Here is a 22,935-nt window from a genome sequence, read left to right on the forward strand (position 1 = left end):
TTCAGGCAATGAGACAAATGAGCAAGGGCATGGAGAAGTGAAAGCATATGGCATCTTTGGGGACTGACTGTGGGGGAGTTAGGGGATGACTGAAGATGGGAGTGAAAATGAGTCCAGGCCAGATCGTGAGCCTTATATCCTGTGCCAAGGAGTTTAGCTTCATTACAGTAGGTACAAAGGCTTTAGGCAAAGAATGATGTCACATAAGCACTATGAGACTCTTTCTAATATTAACATTTCTAAAGTTGCCACTGGCTCCAAAAACATATATGAGATCACTAATTCTAGGATGTCTAGAAACAACTCCAAAGTTCCCACTGGCCCACAGGCCATGAGTCCAGTTAAGAGCTCTGTGAAGGCAAGTACTATTTACTATTTATTTGTTTTTGATCTCCAGGACACAGGATATAGTGGAACCAATAGGAATCAGTTTCTGATTAGGAATGACAGAACAAATGATGGCTCCCAGGTTTCTGACCCGATTATCTCAGGGGGGTGCCAATGAGAAGGATATAAGGTTGGTTTTTTTGTTTTGTTTTGTTTTTTTGAGACAGGCGCTCACTCTGTAATTCAGACTGGAGTGCAGTGGTGTGATCATGGGTCACTGCAACCTCGACCTCCTAGGCTCAAGCAATTCTCCCACCTCAGCCTCCCAAGTAGCTGGGACAACAGGCTCACCCCACCACGCCAGGCTAATTTTATTTTTTGTAGAGACAGGGTCTCTCTGTTTTGCCCAGGCTGATCTCGAGCCTCTGGGTTCATGCAATTCTCCCACTTCAGCCTCCCAAAGTGCTGGGATTATAGGCGTGTGCCACCATGCCCAGCAGATATAAATTGTGTCTGGGAGATGTTAAAAGTTCTGCCCATAACGAGTTAAAACATGGGTGTGGGGTTCAGAAAAGAGGCCACAGCTATAGATATTAATTTGAGCATCACCGTGTATGGTATACTGGCGACAGCTGAAGCCGCATGGGTGAATGAGGTCACCAACCATGAATGGGGCCCAACTAAGAATCTAGGAATCCCAGGGTAAAGTTGAGAATAGACAGAGACAGAGAAAGAACAGAGAAGAGGAAGACAAACAGGAGAGATGTCCTATGAGTCTAAGAAAGTACCTATTTCAAAAAACTTGTGTAGTATGGTGCCAAATGATCATTAAAAGGTCAGCTGGTATGAAGACTGTAATGAGGCTACTGGATTTGGAAACAGGGTAGTCCCTGATTAACTTTCATTGGAGTGGGGAGTGGATAAAGGATAAATTGGGTTGAAGAGTGAATGGAAAATGTGAAAGAAGAGACAGTGAGTATAGATCACTGCTCAAAACGTTTGGCAATAAAGAGAAGGGAGTGAGATATGTTAGCAGTTTGACAAGTAGGTTGGAAGAAGTATGCACATTTTGTGCATTATCTGTTTTATATGACTTGTGTCTAGAGACTTTGAGAACAAGGACTGCCTTTAGTATTCTTACAGTATCTACCAGCTTATATAATAAAAACAACAGCACTACTAAATATTTATTTAGAACACAAAATATAATACCTCGTACAGGTCACTAAATTATATTCCTAGGATAAAAGAAAGAGCACTAGACTAATCAATTAGTCATAAAATGCAAATCATTTACCTGCATGAGGTGACTGTTAAAAAGAGGCCATGCCCTGTTATGCAATTTGACAGGCTCTGTGAGCAACACTGGGGATGTTATAAGATGTTACCTTAGTTCCTTTACCCTGGGCTGCACAAGGACATACTCACCTCCATAGTAGAGTCCTGTAGCAGTGCACATCCGCCACTGTCCCTGATACATTCCTGCTCTGCTGGGGCTGCACATCTGGACGCTGACATCTGCAATCTCTTGGGGCTCTAGCGATCTCACCATCACCATGTTCACATGTCCAAATTGGTCTCCCCCGACATATTTAAGACAAACCCCTGGAGGCCAGGCCTCTGCCCCTGAGTTCAAGCAAAAGAAAAAAATGTTAGGCAATCAATGGTCCTATGCTGGGTGCAGTTTATTATGAAACTGTAGAAGAGGCCTCTTTCTTTTTCTCACATACATACATAAACCTAACCACATATACCTAAGCCATATATTGTCTCACACAACTGATCAAAAGGAATTATCAGAACCAACAACCTCTGACCAATAGTCTAACCCTATGAAGAAGCACAAAAGGCAAAAGCAAGGCAGTTCCTCAAGACAAGTATTTCAGGTGACTCCAGGGAAGGCCACACGTCACACTGAATCTGTAGAACCTAAGAATGATGTCCATGAAGAGCCATGGAGATGAAGCACAGGCCCACGTTTAGGGGACAGCTCTCTCTACTAAAAGGTAACACATGTCCATTTTCACAGTATATCTGATTGTTGCCAGTTTTTCCACAGAAACAAGAGGATGAAACACACAAGGAGTAATTTCAATGGTATTATTCTCAATTTAAAATTGCTTTTTGCCTGAGGTATGACTTTTCTTCTGGGGTCCATAACTATAAAATACTCAAGAGCTCAAGAGACCACATGAATATAAAAGGCAGTAAAAGTTTAGACCTTGGGTGGTAGTGAAAATATAAACAATGGGGTGATCTCCCCTGATAACATCAATGAACTGTGGTCGCAGGAACAATGGCACTAGTTGGAGGAGTTGGAGGTACTTGCGGATAGGATGGGAAGGAGGGTCAATCAGACCTGTCAAAGGGAGATAGATTTTTATAGAGTTACAGGTTAAATTTAACCTGTAACTCTTTAAAGAGTCGCCTGGACTGGAGTACAATGAATGGTACAATCTCTGGCTCACTGCAACCTCCGCCTTCTGGGTTTACACAATTCTCCTGCTTCAGCCTCCTGAGTAGCTAGGATTACAGGCGCCCATTACCACGCCTGGCTAATTATTGTATTTTTACAAGAGATGGGGTTTCACTATGTTGGCCAGGCTGGTCTCGAACTGCTGACCTCATGATCCGTCTGCCTCAGCCTCCCAAAGTGCTGGGATTACAGGTGTGAGCCACAGCGCCTGGCCTAATTTTTGCATTTTTAGCATAGATGGGGTTTCACCATGTTGGCCAGGCTGATCATGAACTCCTGACCTCAGGTGATCTGCCTGCCTTGGCCTCCCAAAGTGCTGGGATTACAGGCATGAGCCATGGCGCCCAGCCGGTACCCACTCTTGTGTACCTATTTTCATGTAACTAATTCATGAGATATCTATGTGTTGACTAGTTCCCACTAGTCAAGCGGTATAGGTAGCCACACAGTGACTAGATGTGATTTTTCCTGTGAAGTCTCTCCAATATGCAGCAATTGATATACTCCTTTTTAACTGTAGACAGAAACTTCTATATATCTTTTTTTGGAATATATACATTCATTATAAAAATAAACCACTGTGAAAACTTGAACATGGCAGGACTCTTAGAACAGAGGGTGCTTGTCATTTATCTCCTACCAGTACTCTAAGATGCCTCAGTTCCTTGCTCTCTAAGTGCCCAGTTTTGACATACCTGATGGCTCACTACTGGAAAGAAACCAGACAGAGAAAGGCAACCAGAGTTCTACTCCTGAGATCTCAGCTCCATTATGAATGGCACCCTCTGTGCTCCTTGGGTCTTAAGGGGTAGCAGCTAAAGCAGTGGCCACTATGTTTTAGCATACCTTCTTCTAAAAAAATTTGCCAACAAAATGTCCTAAGTTAACCCTATAAAGGGCAACCACTGCTGGAGGAAAGGCTGTGGATGATATACTGACAATACACGCAACTTATCTTTTTCATTTCTGAGGTCTGGCAAAAGCCTATTTGTCTTACAACAAGCAGAACAGTAGCTGACATGAAGCACCTTACAAAATGTCAGTCTCCTTAAAGACCAAAATCGAAAAGAAAAATTATACTACTATCATGGGGCTGAATTCACAGTTATTCTTTAAGATACACACATACACACACATATACATACACACACATACACATACACCTGCAACAAGATAATGTCTGTTTATATGAAATCCCAAGAATGTGTCTGTTTTTTGAACTTATAAGTAAATAAGGTAAACCAAGACTGCATGTGAAAAAGACTTAGCTCTCCTAGGCACAACCAGAAGCAGCTGAGATGATTGGGTCATCTTAGCTGTGCAAAAGGAGTGCTGCTACATTCCAGAGAAACTGAGTTAGTCAGTAAAACATTAAATGGGTAACATTAAACACTGGCATTTGGCTAGGGTCCTGCCCTTCTTGGTACTCCAGATACCTATTACTTCTCAGTGGAGTATTTAAAGAACCTCTGGGCTAGAAGAGTTATCCACCAACAACTCTGAAGTGTTCATTGGCTATGAAGTGAAAAACCAATCATCTGCCTTCTGAGTGTTATCAATGATACATACAATTCTTATAGTCACAACTGTTAGGTCACGTAACTCTGAAAAGGTCAAAGATATTGATGCTTGATACAGAAGGAAGGGAATACCAGTGAGTTGTCTGGACTACACTAAACATACCTGAAATCTGAGTTCGAGAAGTATAATAGAACTGGACTCCAAATTAAGTCTCAGTTGCAAACTGGATTAATGGGGGATAGATTTCTATCTAGAAGAAAAGAAAGACTAATCTGTGTTTTATGACGTTCCTAGTTAAGTATCACAATCAAGTATATAATTAAGGCTGTAATTCTCCAGATATGAAATATCACTTTATTTTTTAAAATAAAGTAAAAACAAAAACAAAAAAAACCCTGTCATGTTACAATTTTGAGATGGTAGCAAGCATCACAAAAATCAAAAGTCCAACAGTCCCAGGGGACTTAGTAAGTATATACAATTATAGAAATAGTCTGGAGACAGTAAGGAATATCCAAATAGCAATACAGAAGACAAACCTTAATGATGATCTCCTTTTTAACCCTTATAAGTGTGGACACTGCATTTCATATTAAGCTCCATGAAAGCAGAAACCTTCATCAATCTTGTGACCATTCCTCCCTTGTACCTAATAAAGTGACTGGAACATAATAAAATGTGTTGAATGAAAGAAGCAAAATTATCTTCTCTAGAATCATACTGAAGAGAAAGGTAGAAAGCTAACTATTTTAATGCACTAGAAGAAAAATGGGGGAAATAATTGTTCTTTCTCAAGTTCTTTTCCCATCCCTTTATATTCACTTCTATGAAGTTCAAAAAATAAAGACGACTCTGTATCAATATGCCCAAGATACCCTCTCATATGACAATCACAAAAATTTCACCAAAGTCAGAGAAACACTAGGGTTATCATAACATGCACAGCTTAATATTCACTACAATTGTACAACAGAGCATGGTAGTATAACAACTGAGAAGCTCTAGGTGCTGGTAAAGAGAATTCTGTCTACTCATATTTTTAGAGGGACAGTTTTAAATTTTCATTTTAACTCCCAAAGTTTCCTGCTCAGGTTTACTAAGCTTCCAATGCTTCCACAGTGACAGAAGTCTGAATCCTAGAATTTTGCATCTATGTTATTAGATATCTCAGTTCTGCTTCTGCAAATCTAAATCTAAGGACTTAAAAAATATTAGGAGCTTAATTTTATTTATTTATTTTTATTTATTTATTTATTTATTTATTTATTTATTTATTTATTTATGAGTCGGAGTCTCTGCCGCCCAGGCTGGAGTGCAGTGGCGCGGTCTCAGCTCACTGCAACCTCCACCTCCCAGGTTCATGCAATTCTTCTGCCTCAGCCTCCCGAATACGTGGGATTACAGGCGCCTGCCACCATGCCTGGCTAATTTTTTTGCAGTTTTAGTAGAGATGGGGTTTTTAGTAGAGATGGGGTTTCACCATGTTGGCCAGGCTGGTCTTGAACTCCTGACCTCAGGTGATCTGCCCGCCTCAGCCTCCCAAAGTAGTGGGATTACAGGGTTGAGCTATCTACCACGCCTGGCCAGGAATTTAATTTTAAACAGTGCGCAACGTTCGCCTTCTTCGGGAAAGCTATTGGGACAACTATATGCGATTCCTATCAGTCTCATCTGTGGTATATTTGCATGCCCAGCACGCCTAAAACATGACAAGACAGAAGTGCCATAAAAATTATTATTTATGTAGCTCTTTCAGTGAGTGCTTATTTCTTAGGGAGGTTATGAATGAGAGTAAGACAGCCAGAGGAAAAACTGCCAAGGCCTGCCCTACTTCCATGTTACTACTCTATTTACAGAAATAACTCAGGCCAGATTAGGATGATGCCAAAAACCTGTGCACATGCATGTTCTTCCTCTCTCAAATAACATGCCTGATACTCAGTAACGGGTGGCCAGATTCTCCTTAACCAAATGGAAAACATCCAATTTATAGATTAAAACTACTCTACAGCTGGGGGGACAACTTCCAGAAGAGAAAACCTATTTATGCAAAGCACCTTGAAAGATAAAATCTCTAGCAACTGCTACCTAACCTTTCAAGACCTGTTCAGGCACAAGAATGCCCTTTCACACAAGGAAAGAGATTCAGAAGCTGTTTTAAACTGAGGTTACAAAGCAAATGCAGAGGGGAAAAGCAGTCAGGCCCACCAAGAGAGATTTTTGTAAGTCAACATGAAAGGTAGGCTTTGGGGGTTCTGATTTGACAGTCTAACTACTACATACCAACCTCCCAAAGCTCCCCATTAACCCAAGTAACAGTCTAGTAAGTAGATATATCAAGAGGCTTTTTGAAATATAAAATGGTTAGTCTGCCACAAGATGGTATTTAAAACATTTCAACAGTACTCTAACAACTTTCAGTATTTAAAAACACTGAAGAGCTCACAGAAAGCCAGGCCATTTTCATTGTTTTCACTATTAAGTAAACAAGGTACTGACTTCACTTTAAAATAAACAAATAAAACTTGAATTCAAGTCACACTTTCCAAACAAACCTCATTTATTAAAAAAAAAAAAAATTATATATATATATATATCTCACTGGTAGATTCCAAAAAACTTTTTTTTTTTTTTTTTTTTTGAGATGGAGTCTGGCTCTGTTGCCCAGGCTGGAGTGCAGCGGCGCGATCTTGGCTCACTACAACCTCTGCCTCCTGGGTTCAAGTGATTCTTGTGCCTCAGCCTCCCAAGTAGCTGGGACTACAGGCATGCAACACCATGCCCAGCTAATTTTTTGTATTTTTAGTAGACGGGGTTTTGCCATGTTGGCCAGGCTAGTCTTGAACTCTTGACCTCAAGTGATCTGCCCACCTTGGCCTCCCAAAGTGCTGGGATTACAGGTGTGAGCCACTGCACCCAGCCTCTGAAAGCATTTTTGATCAGTAACACAGCAGGTTTTAAATTCAGAATAAAAACATGATGAATAAAAGCTATTATAAAATGAAGAAACTGTCTTGATATTTTTTTAAAAGCAGGCAAAATCAAGCAAGGTGAGAAAGAAATTAGGCAAAGTAAAGCAAATTAGACTTTGAACAAGTAAGAATTTCAAGAAAAATAGAAAATATGGCTATTTTCCTCTGTTACCATGTACCTCCCAAACTAACTGTTATAACTAACTGTTACAACTAAAAAGGAAAGGGGGCGAATGAAATTTTACAAAGTCACAGGTGTCCTGAGTCATCCACAACATTGGGTCAGTCCAAACTATGTGTTTGGTCAATGACACACTGAACTTTCCTCCAAAGGTGAGTTACTTCTAAATATGCCAGAAAAACTAAGAATAACAATTCAATTTGGTACATTCTTACATAAAAGGCTGGTCTAGCCAGTCTTTCCCCATCATAAAGAACTGAATTGTAAAGAACTGAAAAGTAAACCAAATCAATAAAAGGTCACTTTTATAGGTTTATTTGAGTCCTCAGAGTTTTAAATCATCTCATATAAAATTAACTTGCTAGACAGGGCACCCCCACAAACACGTATTTTTAGCCTAGTTTTCCATCTCTCAGAATTTTTCTCTGAAGTTCTCATTAATAATAAGAAAGTTAAAACACCTTCGACCAGTCAACATAAATTGTCATTAGATGTGACAAGAAATACAAAACCCAACCCCTGCTCCCAAAACTCATTAGAAAATAATTTAAGGCCAGGTGCAGTGGTTCATGCCTGTAATCCCAGCATTTTAGAATGCCAAGGTGGGAGGATCGTGTGAGCCCAGCCCGAGCAACACAATGAAACCCTATTTCTACAAAAACTTTAAAAAATTAGCCAGGCATGGTGCGGTGGCTCACATCTGTAATCCCAACTACTCAGAAGGCCAAGGTAAGAGGATTATTTGAGCCCAGGAGGCCAAGATTGCACCACTGCACTCCCAGCCTGGGTGACAGAGTGAGACCTTGTCTCAAAAAAAAAAAAAAAAAAAGAAAAAGAAAGAAAGAAAGAAAAAAAATTTAGACACATAGACACTATTTTCAAAGAACTATGGTTAATTTATTTATTTTTATTTTTAATTTTTTTTTGAGATGGAGTCTCACTCTGTCACCCAGCCTGAAGTGCAGTGGCATGATTTCAGCTCACTGCAACCTCCACCTCCTGGGTTCAAGCAATTCTCCTGCCTCAGCCTCCCAAGTAGCTGGGATTAAAGGTGCCCAACACCATACCCGGTTAATTTCTGTATTTTTAGATGGGGTTTCATCATGTTGGCCCAACTGGTCTCCAACTCCTCATCTGAAGTGATCCTCCCACCTCGGCCTCCCAAAGCTGGGATTACAGGCATGAGCCACCATGCTCAGCCTATGGTTAACTTATTTCTAGTTTGTCTTAAAAGAGGCTGCAGTACATCAAAACAATGTTTTTCTTGTATTTTTTTCTTTTTAGTGTTTGTAGAGACAGGATCTCGCTACATTGCCAAAGCTGGTCTTAAACTCCTGGGCTCAAGTGATCCTCCTGCCTTGACCTGTAAAAGTGCTGGGAGGCCATGTGCAGTGTACATATGTAATATCAGCTATCCAAGTGAGAGGATAGCTTGAGCCCAAGAGTTCGAGATCAACCTGGGCAACACAGGAAGACTCCATCTCTACAATTAAAAAATTAGCTGGGCACAGTAGTGCACGCCTGTGGACCCAGCTACTCAGGAGAGGCTGAGGCAGGAGGATCGCCTGAGCCCAAGAGTTTAAGGCTATAGTGAGCCATGATCACAACATTGCACTCCAGCCTGGGCAACAGAGCGAGATGCTGTCTCAAAAAAAAAAAAAAAAAAAGTGCTGGGATTCTGTGTGTGAGCTACCACACCCAATCTGTATTTTTTTTTTAAACCAACAATTTCTCTGTCTCCCATTTTGAGCAAATTCCCATATTTCCTACCCTATTTTTCAAAGTGGTATTAATGTCTCAGATATCCTAATGAAATTTCAGAGACAATCATCCTTGTGGTTGCAAAAAAAAAAAAAAGAGCTTTCAAAAGAGCAGATGCTCACAGCTCTTTCCAACTACCTTGTTCTATTCAAGGATACACCTCCTCTAGCCTGCTGGAAATGACTGGAAGATTAATTAGAGCAGAAATAAAGTGATGAAGTAAAACTGTACAGGTGGAGCCAATACCCCATCATATAGAAGTCTAGTTCCTAGTAACAAAACCAATATTGGATTGTGTTTAGATGCCATTAAGTTATAGGTGGCTTAAAAGCATGAGACATAAATTCTTCTTCCTACTTTAGAGCAGGAGATATTTCACTAATGTTTGGTCATCACACCAGTACAAGAAAATACTACATATCATGTGTAAGAGAAAGCTCGCAGTTACACAATCACATACATAAGCTAAAACATTTCCTTCTTATTTAACTATTAAGAAAATGAAAACTAGGCAAGGGAGGATTGCCCATTATGTACTTACCAGAATTCTGGATCCGCCATGTTTTTACAAACTGAGTATCCGGAGGTATTGACTCCCCTTCTCCTATGGTGACATCTTCAACAAAGGACATAGAGGGCACACTGATGTTTGGGCTCTCAAAGTCATAATAGGCGCCAATTGCTGCTTGTAGGTTCCTATAGAAAAAGAGAAAAGGCAACAGACTTCAGTACTGTCCAGATATTATCCTAATTGTTAAACAAAAGGAAAAAGCCTGTTTCTTAGGGTTTGTCACAGAACCTGAGGCTCCTGGTATACACGTCTTTAAAGCCTTCTATTCTGGCTGAGGAACAATAGGAAAAACACCAGGACCAACAAATTTGTGTATCACTTTCTTCCCACACAGAAAGTAACAAACATTAGTACCATCAGCAACAGTATGAGGAAATCTCCCTTATTACCCACAGGAAAACAAGAATGGGTAAAGAAATCAATTAAAAGAGAGTTCTATAACTACGGCATTCAAAGAAGCACTACTTTTTATTTTGTATTATTATTATTTGTTAATATTAAAAAAAAGAGAGAGAGACAGCCATGTTGCCCAGGCTAGTCTTGAACTCCTGAGCTCAAGCGATCCATCCATCTCAGCCTCCCAAAGTGCTAGGATTATAGGCATGAGCCACTGAGCCCAGCCAGAAGCTTCACTTTTTAAAATAAAGTTAATATGTGCACATAATACAGAAAATCATGTTCTCTTTTTTCCTCAACATACACACACAGATATAACTGTTCATATTACTTTCTTAAATATCCTTCCAGAACTTTCTTATACACATTCAAGCAAACATAATATACAATCTTATTTTCCCCCTTTTTTATACAAATGGTAGCATAATATACAATGCCCTTTGCTTTATTCTCTTAATACTGTATCTTGAAAACATCTCTGTTAGTACATAAAGAGCATCCTCATTGTTTTTTACAGCTGTAACCACTATACAGATGGATCATCATTTAACCAGTGGACTTTTGAGTTTGTTTCCAGTCATTAACTCTTCCACAAATAAGCTTAAGCACACAGTTTTGTATACATGCAAGTGTATACAATCTGTGAGATAAATTCCTATTAAGTGATACTGCTGTGCCAGAGTTTGTGGTTTTAATAAATATATCCAAACTTCCCTCAATAAAAGTTGTACGCTAATGGTCCCACCAAGAATATAAGAGTACGCCTATTTTCCCCACTTGCTCATCAGTGGTGTTTCTCTAACATTTTGGATTTCTCCCATCTAATAGGTTAAAAAAAATATATCTCAGTGAGATCTTGAGAGGCTGAGTATCTTTTTACAGGTTTAAGAGCCATTTGTAAAGGCTGGGCTCAGTGGCTCACGCCTGTAATCCCAGTACTTTGGGAGGCCGAGGTGGGCAGATCACGGGGTCAGGAGTTCAAGATCAGCCTGGCCAACATAGTGAAACCCGTCTCTACTAAAAAAAGTACAAAAAATTAGCCAGGCACGGTGGCGGGCACCTGTAATCCCAGCTACTCGGGAGGCTGAGGCAGTAGAATCGCTTGAACCCGAGAGGTGGAGGTTGCAGTGAGCCAAGATAGCACCATTGCACTCCAGCCCAGGCAACAGTGCCAGACTCCGTCTCAAAAAAAAAAAAAAAAAAAAGAGCCATTTGTAGTTTCTTTTTTGGAAGTATCATTTTGTAAATGTTGGTGTTCTTTTTAATTACTCACAAATCCCCTTTCATCAGAAGGAACTACGAAGCACCTAAGCCAGAGTTCCCAACTGAGCAGAAGCGCGTGATTGTCAGCTTGGTTATCAGTGCCAGAAACCAAGGGCCACTAAAGGGTTTCAGTAAGCTGCGTTCATTACAGAGATCAAGGAAATTGTTGGTAATTACATTAACTGCTTCTCTTCTGGTCTTACTCAAACCAGTGACATCATCTCCACTTCCCACGCTATGTAACAATCCAAACTGCATGTTTCTAAACATAATCCAACCATAAACCAACGAATCCACTGAGCTGTTTTTAATTATACATAAACATAGCATGAAACAAGCTCTGACAGTACACAACTGATCAACAGAAATGCTAATAACAGCAAATAATTTTCTGTTGGGGGCCTGCCTGCTCCTCCAGGTGCTTGCAGCTGCCAGAAAGGAAGGCTATAATTAGAGCAGGTACCTGAGGTCAAGCCTCATGCAATGGTGGCCTGTCATATTAGTCAGTAATGACTGAAATTACAATACCAATGGCCTGCCTATGGTATATGTGCTTGATAATATTTACATAAAGAGAGCTGGGCTGGGGCCAAACTGCACCTGTTTGCTTGACTATTCAATACAAAGCTTGAACTTGAGTCTTCTCAGCAGTTTCCTGTCTAGCTGACAGTGATCTAAAGTGAAGGATGTTTGTGACTGGTCAAACTTGGGGAAATCCAGCCCCTACCATCCACAAACAGGCTTAGAAGTATATCTGGAATTAGCATTACACTTAGGGATCAGGGAGAATATGGGAGAAAAATAAGCCTAGTTTGCAATTTGCTCTTTTGAAAACATTTTGGAAAAGCTGTATGTCTACCGTTTTGAAAACAGAATTTTTTTGCAGCAGGTCTTCAGTAAGTAGCCTGCTGAATTGTTTTCTGTTCACTTGGCTGCAAAATATGTTTTGGAGGGAAGAAACTATTTGTGCACTCAGGACAATTGCCAATTCTCATCCCCAGCTTGTGTCATATTTCACCCTTTGGCTCTGCCATCAGGATAGGACTTTAAGACCACTGCAGTAGGAACACTAGTAAGTGGGAAAGTCAAGCTACCCAACTTAGGCAGATCCATTCCTATCCTCAAATCTCCTTTCACACCTTTCCAACTTATCCCACAGTCAAAGCTTATTTGTATGTGTATTATACAGGTAATTCAGCCAGAGAAAGATTAAGAAACATTTTTAAACCCCAAACTGAAACTGAAAGCAGCGAACTGGAATCCTGGCAGGAAGCTGGAGAGGATGACAAAGCAAATTCATTTCCCAAGTACAAGGCAGAAAGTGGACTTTAGCCCGAGTGATCTAACCCATCAAGCAGGTACACAGCTACAAATGTGGGGTACACAGCTTCTCAGAGTTCAGAGAATTTAAATTACTGGCCCACTAGGCTGAGCAACAGCAGGCATAGACCAAACAGCTCCAATTCAGTGTCAGAAAGTAGACATGATAGCAGGTATTCCTGTTCAAAACAACATACTCAGCTATTATTAGCCAACAAGTAATTCTTCATGAAATGGAGCTGGCTAAGGTGATGGGAAAGGGAAAACATTGACCCAGCATTCAGTGCAGTCTGAAAGTTTAAACCTCCAGATTCCTTCAGTTTTTCTGCTCAAAAAAGTTTTAAATCTAATTTCAGATGGTTAAAAGTACCCTGAAGAACAAACAGAGGCAACGTTAACAGTGATAAAAAGCACAGATTAAGATGGATGCTGGTGCTGGATGCTGTGACTCACGCCTGTAATCCCAACACTTTGGGAGGCAGAGGCAGGCAGATCACTTGAGGTCAGGAGTTTGAGACCAGCCTGGCCAACGTGGTGAAACCTCGTCTCTACAAAAAATACAAAAATTAGCTGGGCATAGTGCATGCCTGTAATGAGCTACTTGGGAGGATGAGATAGGCGAATTGCTTGAACCCAGGAGGCGGAGGTTGCAATGAGCCAAAATTGTGCCACTGCACTCACTCTGACCTAGGCAACAAAGTGAGACTCTGTCTCAAAAAAAAAAAAAAAGATGGATGATGGTAATAGTTGCACACTGCCAATATAGTTAATGCCACAGAACTGTATACTTAAAATGGTTAAAATGGTAAATTTCATGTCATGCAGATTTTACCACAATGAAATAATTTTTCTTTTTCTTTTTTTTTTTTTTTTTTAAGAGTATGGTCTTTAGGCAGGACACAGTGGCTCACACCCATAATCCCAGGACTTTGGGAGGCCGAGGCGGGCAGATCGCCTGAGGTCAGGAATTCGAGACCAGCCTGGCCAACATGGGGAAACCTTGTCTCTACTAAAAATACAAAACTTAGCTGGGCATGGTCGTGGGCGCCTGTAATCCCAGCTACTTGGGAGGCTGGGTCAGGAGAATTGCTTGAACCTCAGGAGGCAGAGTTTGCAGTGAGCTGAGATTGCGCCACTGCACTCCAGCCTGGGCAACAGGGCAAGACTCCATCTCAAGAAAAAAAAGACTGTGATCTTTAGAGTCAGCTCCAACTCTTGGCTGTGGGGTTTTGAACAAGCAGCTAAGCCTTTCCCCATCAGTTTTACTCATCTGCAAAACTGAGTTGATACTACCTATCTCATTATAATGTTGGCTGTGAAGATTGCAGAGGCAACGTATGCAAATGTCCTGGTTGGCAGTCATTCATTCAACAAATATTTAATGAACGAGCATTTACCCTTGTGCCAGGCACCTGGCCTGGAGCATTAGGGATACAGCAAATTGCAAGACAGGCATGGCCCTTGCCTTCAGTGTTTATACTCTATAGCTAACCAGGGACATTCAAACAAAGGTTAACTCCAAATGCCTCTCGCACAGAGGCTATGGGCCCAAAGCAGCTTTTCCTGCTTAGGGTGAAAGATGGGCTTGGTACACAGCACAGTTTCAACTGCACAGACAATGAAGTTAACCCGAACTGGAGAAGAATTTGGTAACACTGACATGTTTCCTGATAAAATACAACTCTGTCCAACCTTCATTTTATAGATGAGGCTACTGAGGCACTGACAGGCGAGGTTAATTTGCCCTAGGCTAGGCAATTATTAGAATTCAGAGCCACACCTATTCAAAAGTTTTAACCTACCCAGAATTTCCAATTATATAACACTCTGAACATCTGATTTTCTTAACATACTAATTACCATTATGAATTCTATAAATGAATTGTAACCCCCATTAAACTGAATTCTTTAAAGAATTGATCTTGCATATATTCACAAACATAGAACATTTATTTTTGTTGTATATATACATACATAAGGCAGTCTTTTTTTTTTTTTTTTTTTTTTTTAACGGAGTCTCACTCTATCCCCAGGCTGGAGTGCAGTGGTGCTATCTCGGCTCACTGCAACCTCCACCTCCCGGGTTCAAGCAATTCTCCTACCTCAGCCTCCGGAGTAGCTGGGATTACAGGCATGTGCCACCACGCTCGGCTAATTTTGTATTTTTAGTAGAGACGGGGTTTCTCCATGTTGGTCAGGTTGGTCTCGAACTCCCAACCTCAGGTGATTCACCCGCTTTGGCCTCCCAAAGTGCTGGGATTACAGGTGTGACCCACCACGCCCGGCCCATAAGGCAGTCTTAGGAAGAAAAATCATCTATATATTTATATGAGGCCAGAAACATCATTCAAAAATATGGCAGTAGAAAACAGTTAAGAAAACCAGGCCAGGTGTGGTGGCTCATGCCTATAATCCCAGCACCTTGGGAGGCGCAGAGGCAGGTGGATCACTTCAGCCCAGAAGTTTGAGACTAGCCTAGGTAACATGGCGAAACCTCATCCCTTCAAAAAAAAAAAAAAATCAGCCAGGCATGGTGGCATACACCTATAGTCCCAGCCACTCAGGGGGCTGAAGTGGGAGGATCACTTGATCCCAGGAGGGTGAGGCTGCGGTGAGCTGAGACTGCGCCACTGCACTCCAGCCTGGGCAACAGTGAGACCCTGTCAAAAAAATAAATAAATTTAAAAAATCAGAAATAGAGAAGGAATGCCATTAGCTCAGATTCTCAAGGAAAAAAAAAAAACTAGATACCTTTTCTTTCCATTCTCTGAACAAGTGAGAAACTCAAAAGAACACAAATTATTTATGAGAAAAAGAAAACTACCAACCTTATTTGGACACAAATTAAAATGGGAAACAGAATAATGAACCCATGTTATCAGGCATGAACAACAGCATCTTAGGGCTTCAAGACATTGTTATCCTGAACCACAAGGGGTTTTCCTCACCTGGGATACGCCAATAATATTGCTACTAAAGCCATGTACCACCAAGAATCAAGAAGACCTTACTATCTCTGAATGACCAAAAAGGTAATTTGGCCGGAAAAAGGCTCAGCAAAATAGATGCTCTTAACCAGGGCCTTCCAACATCAATGTGAGAGGAATCTAACATGGAATACCAAAAAGAGGGGCCAAACATTACATACTTGTAACTACTATGAATTTTAAAGCCTGGAAAGAAACTAAGACTTTCATTGAAACAGAAAGATGACCGCAAATAGGGAATTCAAGTTGGGCTAAAGGCAACGGTCAATACTGTCAACCTAAAAATGTACTCGCAGATACTCTTTAATACGTGAAGACAACTAGTAAAAAGAATTTGTGGAAAATTACATTCAGAGGAGGGACAAAGTTAATATCAACATTTTACCCACTTCTTAGAGCCCTATGGCATCTAAAATTGTTTCTCCTCTCTTCGTTTCCTGGCTATTTATTGATCCATTAATTTTATTACTTTTAAGAACTGGTCCTTCTGTCTTCAGCAGCTATACCATTTTCCAAGTAGAAAATAAAAAATAAGTACTCTGCCACAAAAAAGAAAGGAAGTGGTGGCATTGTTTTATTATTGTATTAGGTAATAGTACATAGTTATGTATGAGAATATCCTTGTTTTTAAAAAATACATGCAGAAACATTTAAAGATCAAGGGTCATAAAATGTCTACAACTTTCAAATGATTTTTTAAAAATCTTACATAAAGAAAGCAAATATGGCAAAAATGTTAACCATTGTGGAATCTAGGTGGTAGGCACAAGGCTATACACTCTACAATTCTTTAAAATGTTCTGTAAGGGCTGGGCACGGTGGCTCATGGAGGTGGGGGTACTGAGAAATTTGGAACTGGAACTAAGAAAGTTTCTCTCATAGTATCTGGTCTATAAACTACACATTTGAGAGCTCTGGACAGTCATGGCTCTCTTCAACAGAGATAAAAGACCACTGCAAACATCTAGATAAAACACACAGAGAAAGAAACCTAAAGGTATTTCAAGTCCTTGAGTCTAGTTGTTCCTGAAGCACAAACATATTTCTGTCTTTGGGTTCTGTGTAACATAAAAATATCCTTAAAGAAACCCTTTTATCATTATCTAGTTTGAAGTAAGTTTGTTACTTTCAACATAATAGGTCCAAATTAGTTCAATATTGTATAATGGCTTCTAGGGAGAGTTTGAATGGAAGGTACAAAGCCAATTAAAAGACATAGAAGAGGCCAGGCGCGGTGGCTCACGCCTGTAATCCCAGCACTTTGGGAGGCCCAGGTGGGCAGATCACAAGGTCAGGAGATTGAGACCATCCTGGCTAAAACAGTGAAACCCCGTCTCTACTAAAAATGCAAAAAATTAGCCGGGCGTGGTGGCGGGCGCCTGTAGTCCCAGCTGCTCGGGAGGCTGAGGCAGGAGAATGGCGTGAACCCGGGAGGCGGAGCTTGCAGTGAGCCGAGATCGTGCCACTGCACTCCAGACTGGGCGACAGAGCGAGACTCCGTCTCAAAAAAAAAAAAAAAAAAAAAAAAAAAAAAAATTAGCTGGGCGTGGTGGCAGGCGCCTGTAGTCCCAGCTACTCAGGAGGCTGAGGCAGGAGAATGGCGTGAACCTGGGAGGCAGAGCTTGCAGTGAGCCGAGATCGCGCCACTGCACTCCAGCCTGGGTGACAGAGCAAGACTCCGTCTCAAAAAAAAAAAAAAAGAAAAAGAAAAGAAAAAGACATAGAAGAGAAGCTGGAGCACTAAGTTAAAACTTACTCAGATCTAGCAATTCCACTTCTGGGTATCTAAGAGAACTGAAAGCAGTTCTAAAAAAGAATATGCGTGTTCAGAGCAGCATTATTCATAAGAGTCAAATGGTGAAAGCAACCCAAGTGTCCACTGACCAATGAACAAATAAACAATATATGATTTATACATGTAATGGGATATTATTTAGCCTTAAAAAGGAAGAAAATTCTGAAAACACATAACATTACGGATGAACCTTGAGGATTTTATGCTAAGTGAAATAAGTCCGTCACAAAGGTCAAATACTTACATGGAAAGTGGGTAGTTGTTTAATGAGTACATAGTTTCTGTTTTGCAAGATGAAAGAATCCTGGAGATTGTTTGCAAAATGACGTGAATATACTTAACACGCTACGGAATAGTACACTTAAAAATCGGTAAGATGGGCCAGGCATGGTGGCTCACACCTGTAATCCCAGCACTTTGGGAGGCCAAGGCAGGAGGACTGCTTGAGCCCAAGACTGGTCCAGCCTGGGCAACATGGTGAGACCTTGTCTCTATAAAATTTAAAAGAAAATTAAAAATTAGCCAGGCTGGGACTACACAGGGTGGTGTGCACCTATAGTCACAGCTACTTGGGAGGCTGCAGTGGGAGGATCCCTTGAGCCCGGGAGTTCAAGGCTACAGTGAGCCCTAATGATGCCACCCTACACGAGCCTGGATGACAGAGTGAGATCCTGTCTCAAAAAAAAAGAGTTAAGATGGGAAATGTTAAGTACATTTCACCACTAAAGGACCATGACGGCTCATGCCTGGAATCCCAGCACTCTGGGTGGCTGAGGCAAGAGGAGTACTTAATGCCAGGAGTTCAAGACCAGCCTGCGAAACAAAGTGAGACTCTGTCTCTACAAAAAAATTGAAAAATTATCTGGGTATAGTGGCGCGTGCCTATAGTCCCAGCTACTCAGAAGGCTGAAGTGGAAAGATCACTTGAGCCCAGGAGGTTGAGGCTGCAGTGAGCTATTATCATACCACTGTACCCCAGCCTGGGTGACAGAATGAGACCCTGTCTCAAAGAAGAAAATGAAATTTAGATTTACTCTTAAAATGAAAGGAGAGCACCTAAAGGTTTCTAAAATTTTTGTCTTTAAAATTTTAAACTTAAAAAAAAGAGAGAGAGAGAGACAGACAGGGTCTCACTATGTTGCCCAGACTGGTTTTGAACTCCAAGCAATCCTCCTGCCTTGGCCTCCCAAAGTGCTGGGAATATAGGCATGAGCCACCCCGTCCAGCTAAGGTCTCTTTAAAAAGCAATTTTACCGAGGTATAATTTATGCAGCATAAAATCCACCCATTTCAATTGTACAATTCAATGATTTTTAGTAAATTTACAGAATTGTACAACCATCACCATGTTTAGAATATCATGTTTCAGAACATTTTCATCATCCTAATAATGTCCCGGTCCCTGGAACCTATGAATATGTTAAGTTATATCGCAAAGAGGAATTAAGGGTGTTAATCAGCTGACCTTAAAATAGGGAGATTATCCAGAATTATCCAGATGAAACCAATGCAATCACTTCCTTAAGAGTGGAAGAGGGAAGTTAAAGAGAGAACTGAGAAATAGCAGTGTAAGAACGACTCAGCTTTGAAGAAGGAGAAACAGGGCCGTGAGCTAAGGAATGCCTGTAGCCTCTGGAAGCAGGAAAAGGCAAGAAAAGATTCTTCAAAAGGAACAGAGTGTTGATGACGCCATGATTTTAGTGCAGAGACCATTTGAACTTGTGACCTCCAGAACTGCTAAAATTATAAATGTGTGCGTTTTTAAGTCACATAGTTTGTGGTAATGTATCACAGCACCAAAAACTAATATAATGGCTACACATTGTATTATTCTACTTTACTGTATATTTGAAAATGTTTATCATAACAAGAAAAAACTATGAATATGAAAGCAGAATAAAGACTGCAATGAAAATGGTGGGGTTTTGCGGGTTTTTTGGTGACAGGGTCTTGTTATGTTGCCCAGGCTGGTCTCAAACTCCTGGGTTCAAGGGTTCCTCTTGCCTCAGCCTCCTGAGTAGCTAGGATTACAGGAGCATGCCACAGCACCGGGATCAAAATGGTGCTGTTTTTTTGCTGAGTCATTTCCTTCATAATAACTCTGCTTCCAAGAACTCAATTTGCCATCAAAGATACATATTTAGAAATAACTCCCATTCTTGTTGCCCCCTGAATTAAACTGTCATGGATACTTCCCAAAATGGGAAACAATCACTAGGTTCAGTGTTAACTGTAATTTTTGAAAATGCTGGACCACTGGCCCAGGAGAGACATGAAAATATATGATACCCAAAAAGTCCCAGAATGACAAACAAAATGTGACTGAGAAAAAGCTATCTTTATAAACAAAATGTCTATGGTTTATCGTTGCTCATGAAACTTCAGGAAATGGTTTAAAATAGCAGTTACGAAATGATCAGATAAATCTATAATGAAGCATGCCTTTCAAAAGTTTGTTACCAAACAGGGAACTTACAATAAACCAGCAGCAGTCAAATGTATCTCATCCTGGTCAGAGAGCTGTTTTCTAAAAAATACCAGCAATTTTTTGTTTTGTTTTGTTTTTTGAGAGAGACAGGGTCTTGTGCTGTCACCCAGGCTGGAGAGTGCAGTGGCATACTCACAGCTCACTGCGGGTTTGAACTCCTGGACTCAGGCAATCGTCCTGCCTCAACCTCCCAAGTAGGAGTACAGGTGCACACCACAACATCTGGCTCATCTTATCTTTTTTTTTTTTTGGTAGAGATGGGGGTCTCAAGCTAGGCATGGTAGCTCACCGCCTATAATCCCAGCACTCTGGGAGGCTGAGACAGGAGGATCACTGGAGCCCAGGAGTTCAAGACCAGCCTGGGCAACACAGGGAGACCCCTTTTCTACAAAAAAAAAAAAAAAAAAAAAATTAGCCAGGCTTGGTGGCACACACCTGTAGTCCCAGCTACTCGGAAGGCCTGACCCCATGAGGTCAAGAATGCAGCAAGCTGTTATTGTACCACTGCACTCCACTGTGGGCGACAAGACGCTGTCTCAAAAAAAGAGACAGAGAGAGAAGGAGAGATATGGGGGTCTCATTATGTTGCCCACACAGGTCTCAAACGCTGGGCCTCAAGTAATCCTCCCACCTCAGCCTCCCAAAGTGTTGGGATTATAGTAGGCGTGAGCCACCATGACCAGCTGTTTTTGATTTTTTAATTATAATAGAGATAGGGTCTTGTTACATTTCACAGGCTGGTTTCGAACTCCTGGCCTCAAGCAATCCTCCAACCTTAGCTTCCCAAAGTGCTGGGATTACAAGTATGAGCCACCACGCCCAGCCTTCATTTATTAAAAAGGAAAAAAATGCCAAAAAAACAAAATTATGAACCAACATTCCATCCTCTTGTTTCTGCATACAGTGAAAAATGCATAGGCTTTAAGAAGAAATGCCACACTTTTGCATACACTTTTGATTAAAATACTTTACAATTGTCTAATAATTCTTGCCTTTGAGATTTCCTGACAGTGTGCTTCAAAGTACCTTCAGTTTCATCTATGCTTAAAAAAAAAAAAAAAAAATGCTGGCCATACCATCAACATACTTCACCCAGAAAAATGCACCCTAGGATATACATCTAAGAGAAAAATCTATAGCCCTATGCTATCTTATTCTCTCTGCAAGAGCAAAAAGGTAAACAAACCTTAGCCAAATTCTAATATATGATGGGCAAAGACAATGTCATGTTACCTAATACTACCAAAGAATGCCACATGGCATTTAAACTCTGACCCCCAACTCTACTCATTCAGCTGCCAGTATCTCCAAGTACTCTGTGGACATATTTGGCTGCTTTCTGGTATATAGGTACCTTTAAAAAGCTATATACTTGGCCGGGCATGGTGGCTCATGCCTGTAATCCCAGCACTTTGGGAGGCCGAGGCAGGCGGATCACCTGAGGTCGGGAGTTCGAGACCAGCCTGACCAACATGGAGAAACCCCCATCTCTACTTAAAAATACAAAATTAGCCAGGCGTGGTGTTGCATGCCTGTAATCCCAGTTACTCGCGAGGCTGCGGCAGGAGAATCGCTTGAACCCGGGAGGCAGAGGTTGCAGTGAGCCAAGATTGCGCCATTGCACTCCTCCAGCCTGGGCAACAAGAGCGAAACTCCATCTCAAAAAAAAGAAGAGCTATATACTTACAAATAGGGGGCTAAAACTAGATGGAACTTGGAAAAAGAATAAAAACAAATTTTATGATAATTCACAGGCCTGAGAGTTAACAGTCCTCCTTTTCTTTTACAAACTAATGACAGTATAAATATGTGACATGTGAGAGAATGCTATCATTTTTAATAACTAATCAGCACAAACAAGGGATACAACACTTAAAGAATATATCCTGTAAAAGTCCTGTTGTACTTGCAAACAATCTCACGTATTCTGTTAATGTTTTCATGTTCTGGGCAACCAACTCTTCAGATGATAACCAAGCAGGTTTGAGACAGCTCATCCAACTATGGCATTTCTTATGCATTCCAGAATAAAAGGACTTTTAAAAATAGCTTCTTTACATGACACTGCGTAATTATCACCAGTAAAATTAGTGGCCCTCCCCTCCATCAAAAAATCATAAAGCCACTCGAATATACATGAAAAAAAACTATCCAATCTGGTTTACAAAGAAAAAGATACTAAAAACTGAGAGGAAAAAAAAATCTATCTATAGTTTATTCTGATTCTTCCTTGAAGAAAGTTTGGTCTCTCAAAGACAGAAAAGCAGCACACATCCCCAAATAATGTAAACATAGTGAATGAAGGTGTTTATGTAGTTCAAGCTTTACAAAGTCAAGGAGATCTTTCTCAATACCCCCTTTTTTGGATCCTGTATGGCTGAAGGTAAGGCAAATACACTTAGGCTCACAATGTTAAACTAAAACATGACCTAAATTTGGCTTTATTCACCATGAATTCCTTCCCTAATTTGATATGTTCTATTTAAAAATTAATATATTTACAGAAGAATGCCAAACAATAAATGAAGATGGAACAACAAAATTAGATAACAACCTTTTTGCAACCACCTATGCAGTATCAACTCAGTCAAGGATCATCAATAGATACTAAAACAGTGGAGAGGAAGACTGTTGGGAAAACAGGGTAGTCCCAGTCTGAGAGTCATCCCCACAGATTACTTATTAACTATAAAGGAGAAAAACAGGTGGACACTATCTTAACCAAATATTCAATTTTAGCATAGTCAGTAATAGGACAAACTAACATAATATGCCTCCTGATGTGACGCAATAGAAGACATAGCATCATCTATGTATTATTTCCAACAAAATAATCTGATTCTAATCACGACTAACCAACAACATAGGACACTCCGA

General features: G+C 40.6%; 1 protein-coding gene across 6 annotated transcripts in view, besides 5 other annotated features; it reads right to left on the reverse strand.

Moving 5' to 3' along the window:
- ILRUN (inflammation and lipid regulator with UBA-like and NBR1-like domains) overlaps positions 1-22,935 on the reverse strand; it is a 109,480-nt gene that overhangs the window by 57,558 nt on the left and 28,987 nt on the right. For 5 of the 6 annotated variants that reach the window (XR_926300.4, XR_007059333.1, XR_007059332.1 and 2 more), the window contains exons 2-3: positions 9,780-9,934; positions 1,756-1,953 (exon numbers count right to left, since the gene is read on the reverse strand). Coding sequence is in view for 3 of the 6 variants with exons in the window: in NM_024294.4 (NP_077270.1) it covers positions 1,756-1,953; positions 9,780-9,934 (353 nt within the window). In the remaining 3 variants the exon portion in view is untranslated. The remainder of the gene's footprint in view (positions 1-1,755; positions 1,954-9,779; positions 9,935-22,935) is intronic. The other variant, NM_022758.6, reaches the window with a different exon arrangement.
- Positions 12,684-12,828: an enhancer, noted in NCBI's record as "145 bp enhancer 28 fragment used in the MPRA reporter construct; PK_construct_3396". NCBI's record gives its function as "activates an SV40 promoter by MPRA in HepG2 cells {active_cell/tissue: HepG2}" and the evidence as "EXISTENCE:reporter gene assay evidence [ECO:0000049][PMID:23512712]".
- Positions 12,684-13,316: a biological region, named in NCBI's record as "NFE2L2 motif-containing MPRA enhancer 28".
- Positions 12,737-13,316: an enhancer, noted in NCBI's record as "NANOG-H3K27ac hESC enhancer chr6:34625359-34625938 (GRCh37/hg19 assembly coordinates)". NCBI's record gives its function as "activates a minimal SCP1, AML or CMV promoter by ChIP-STARR-seq in naive H9 embryonic stem cells {active_cell/tissue: H9 hESC(naive)}" and the evidence as "EXISTENCE:reporter gene assay evidence [ECO:0000049][PMID:30033119]".
- Positions 12,751-12,761: a transcriptional cis regulatory region, noted in NCBI's record as "NFE2L2 motif; enhancer activity is reduced when this motif is scrambled". NCBI's record gives its function as "necessary for full MPRA enhancer 28 activity {active_cell/tissue: HepG2}" and the evidence as "EXISTENCE:site-directed mutagenesis evidence [ECO:0005528][PMID:23512712]".
- Positions 17,328-17,509: a silencer, noted in NCBI's record as "fragment chr6:34629950-34630131 (GRCh37/hg19 assembly coordinates)". NCBI's record gives its function as "represses an EF-1alpha promoter that drives an FKBP-Casp9 reporter gene in an ReSE screen in K562 erythroleukemia cells {active_cell/tissue: K562}" and the evidence as "EXISTENCE:reporter gene assay evidence [ECO:0000049][PMID:32094911]".

This window comes from Homo sapiens, chromosome 6, assembly GCF_000001405.40.
Source record: "Homo sapiens chromosome 6, GRCh38.p14 Primary Assembly".
Classification (NCBI taxonomy): Eukaryota; Metazoa; Chordata; class Mammalia; order Primates; family Hominidae; genus Homo; species Homo sapiens.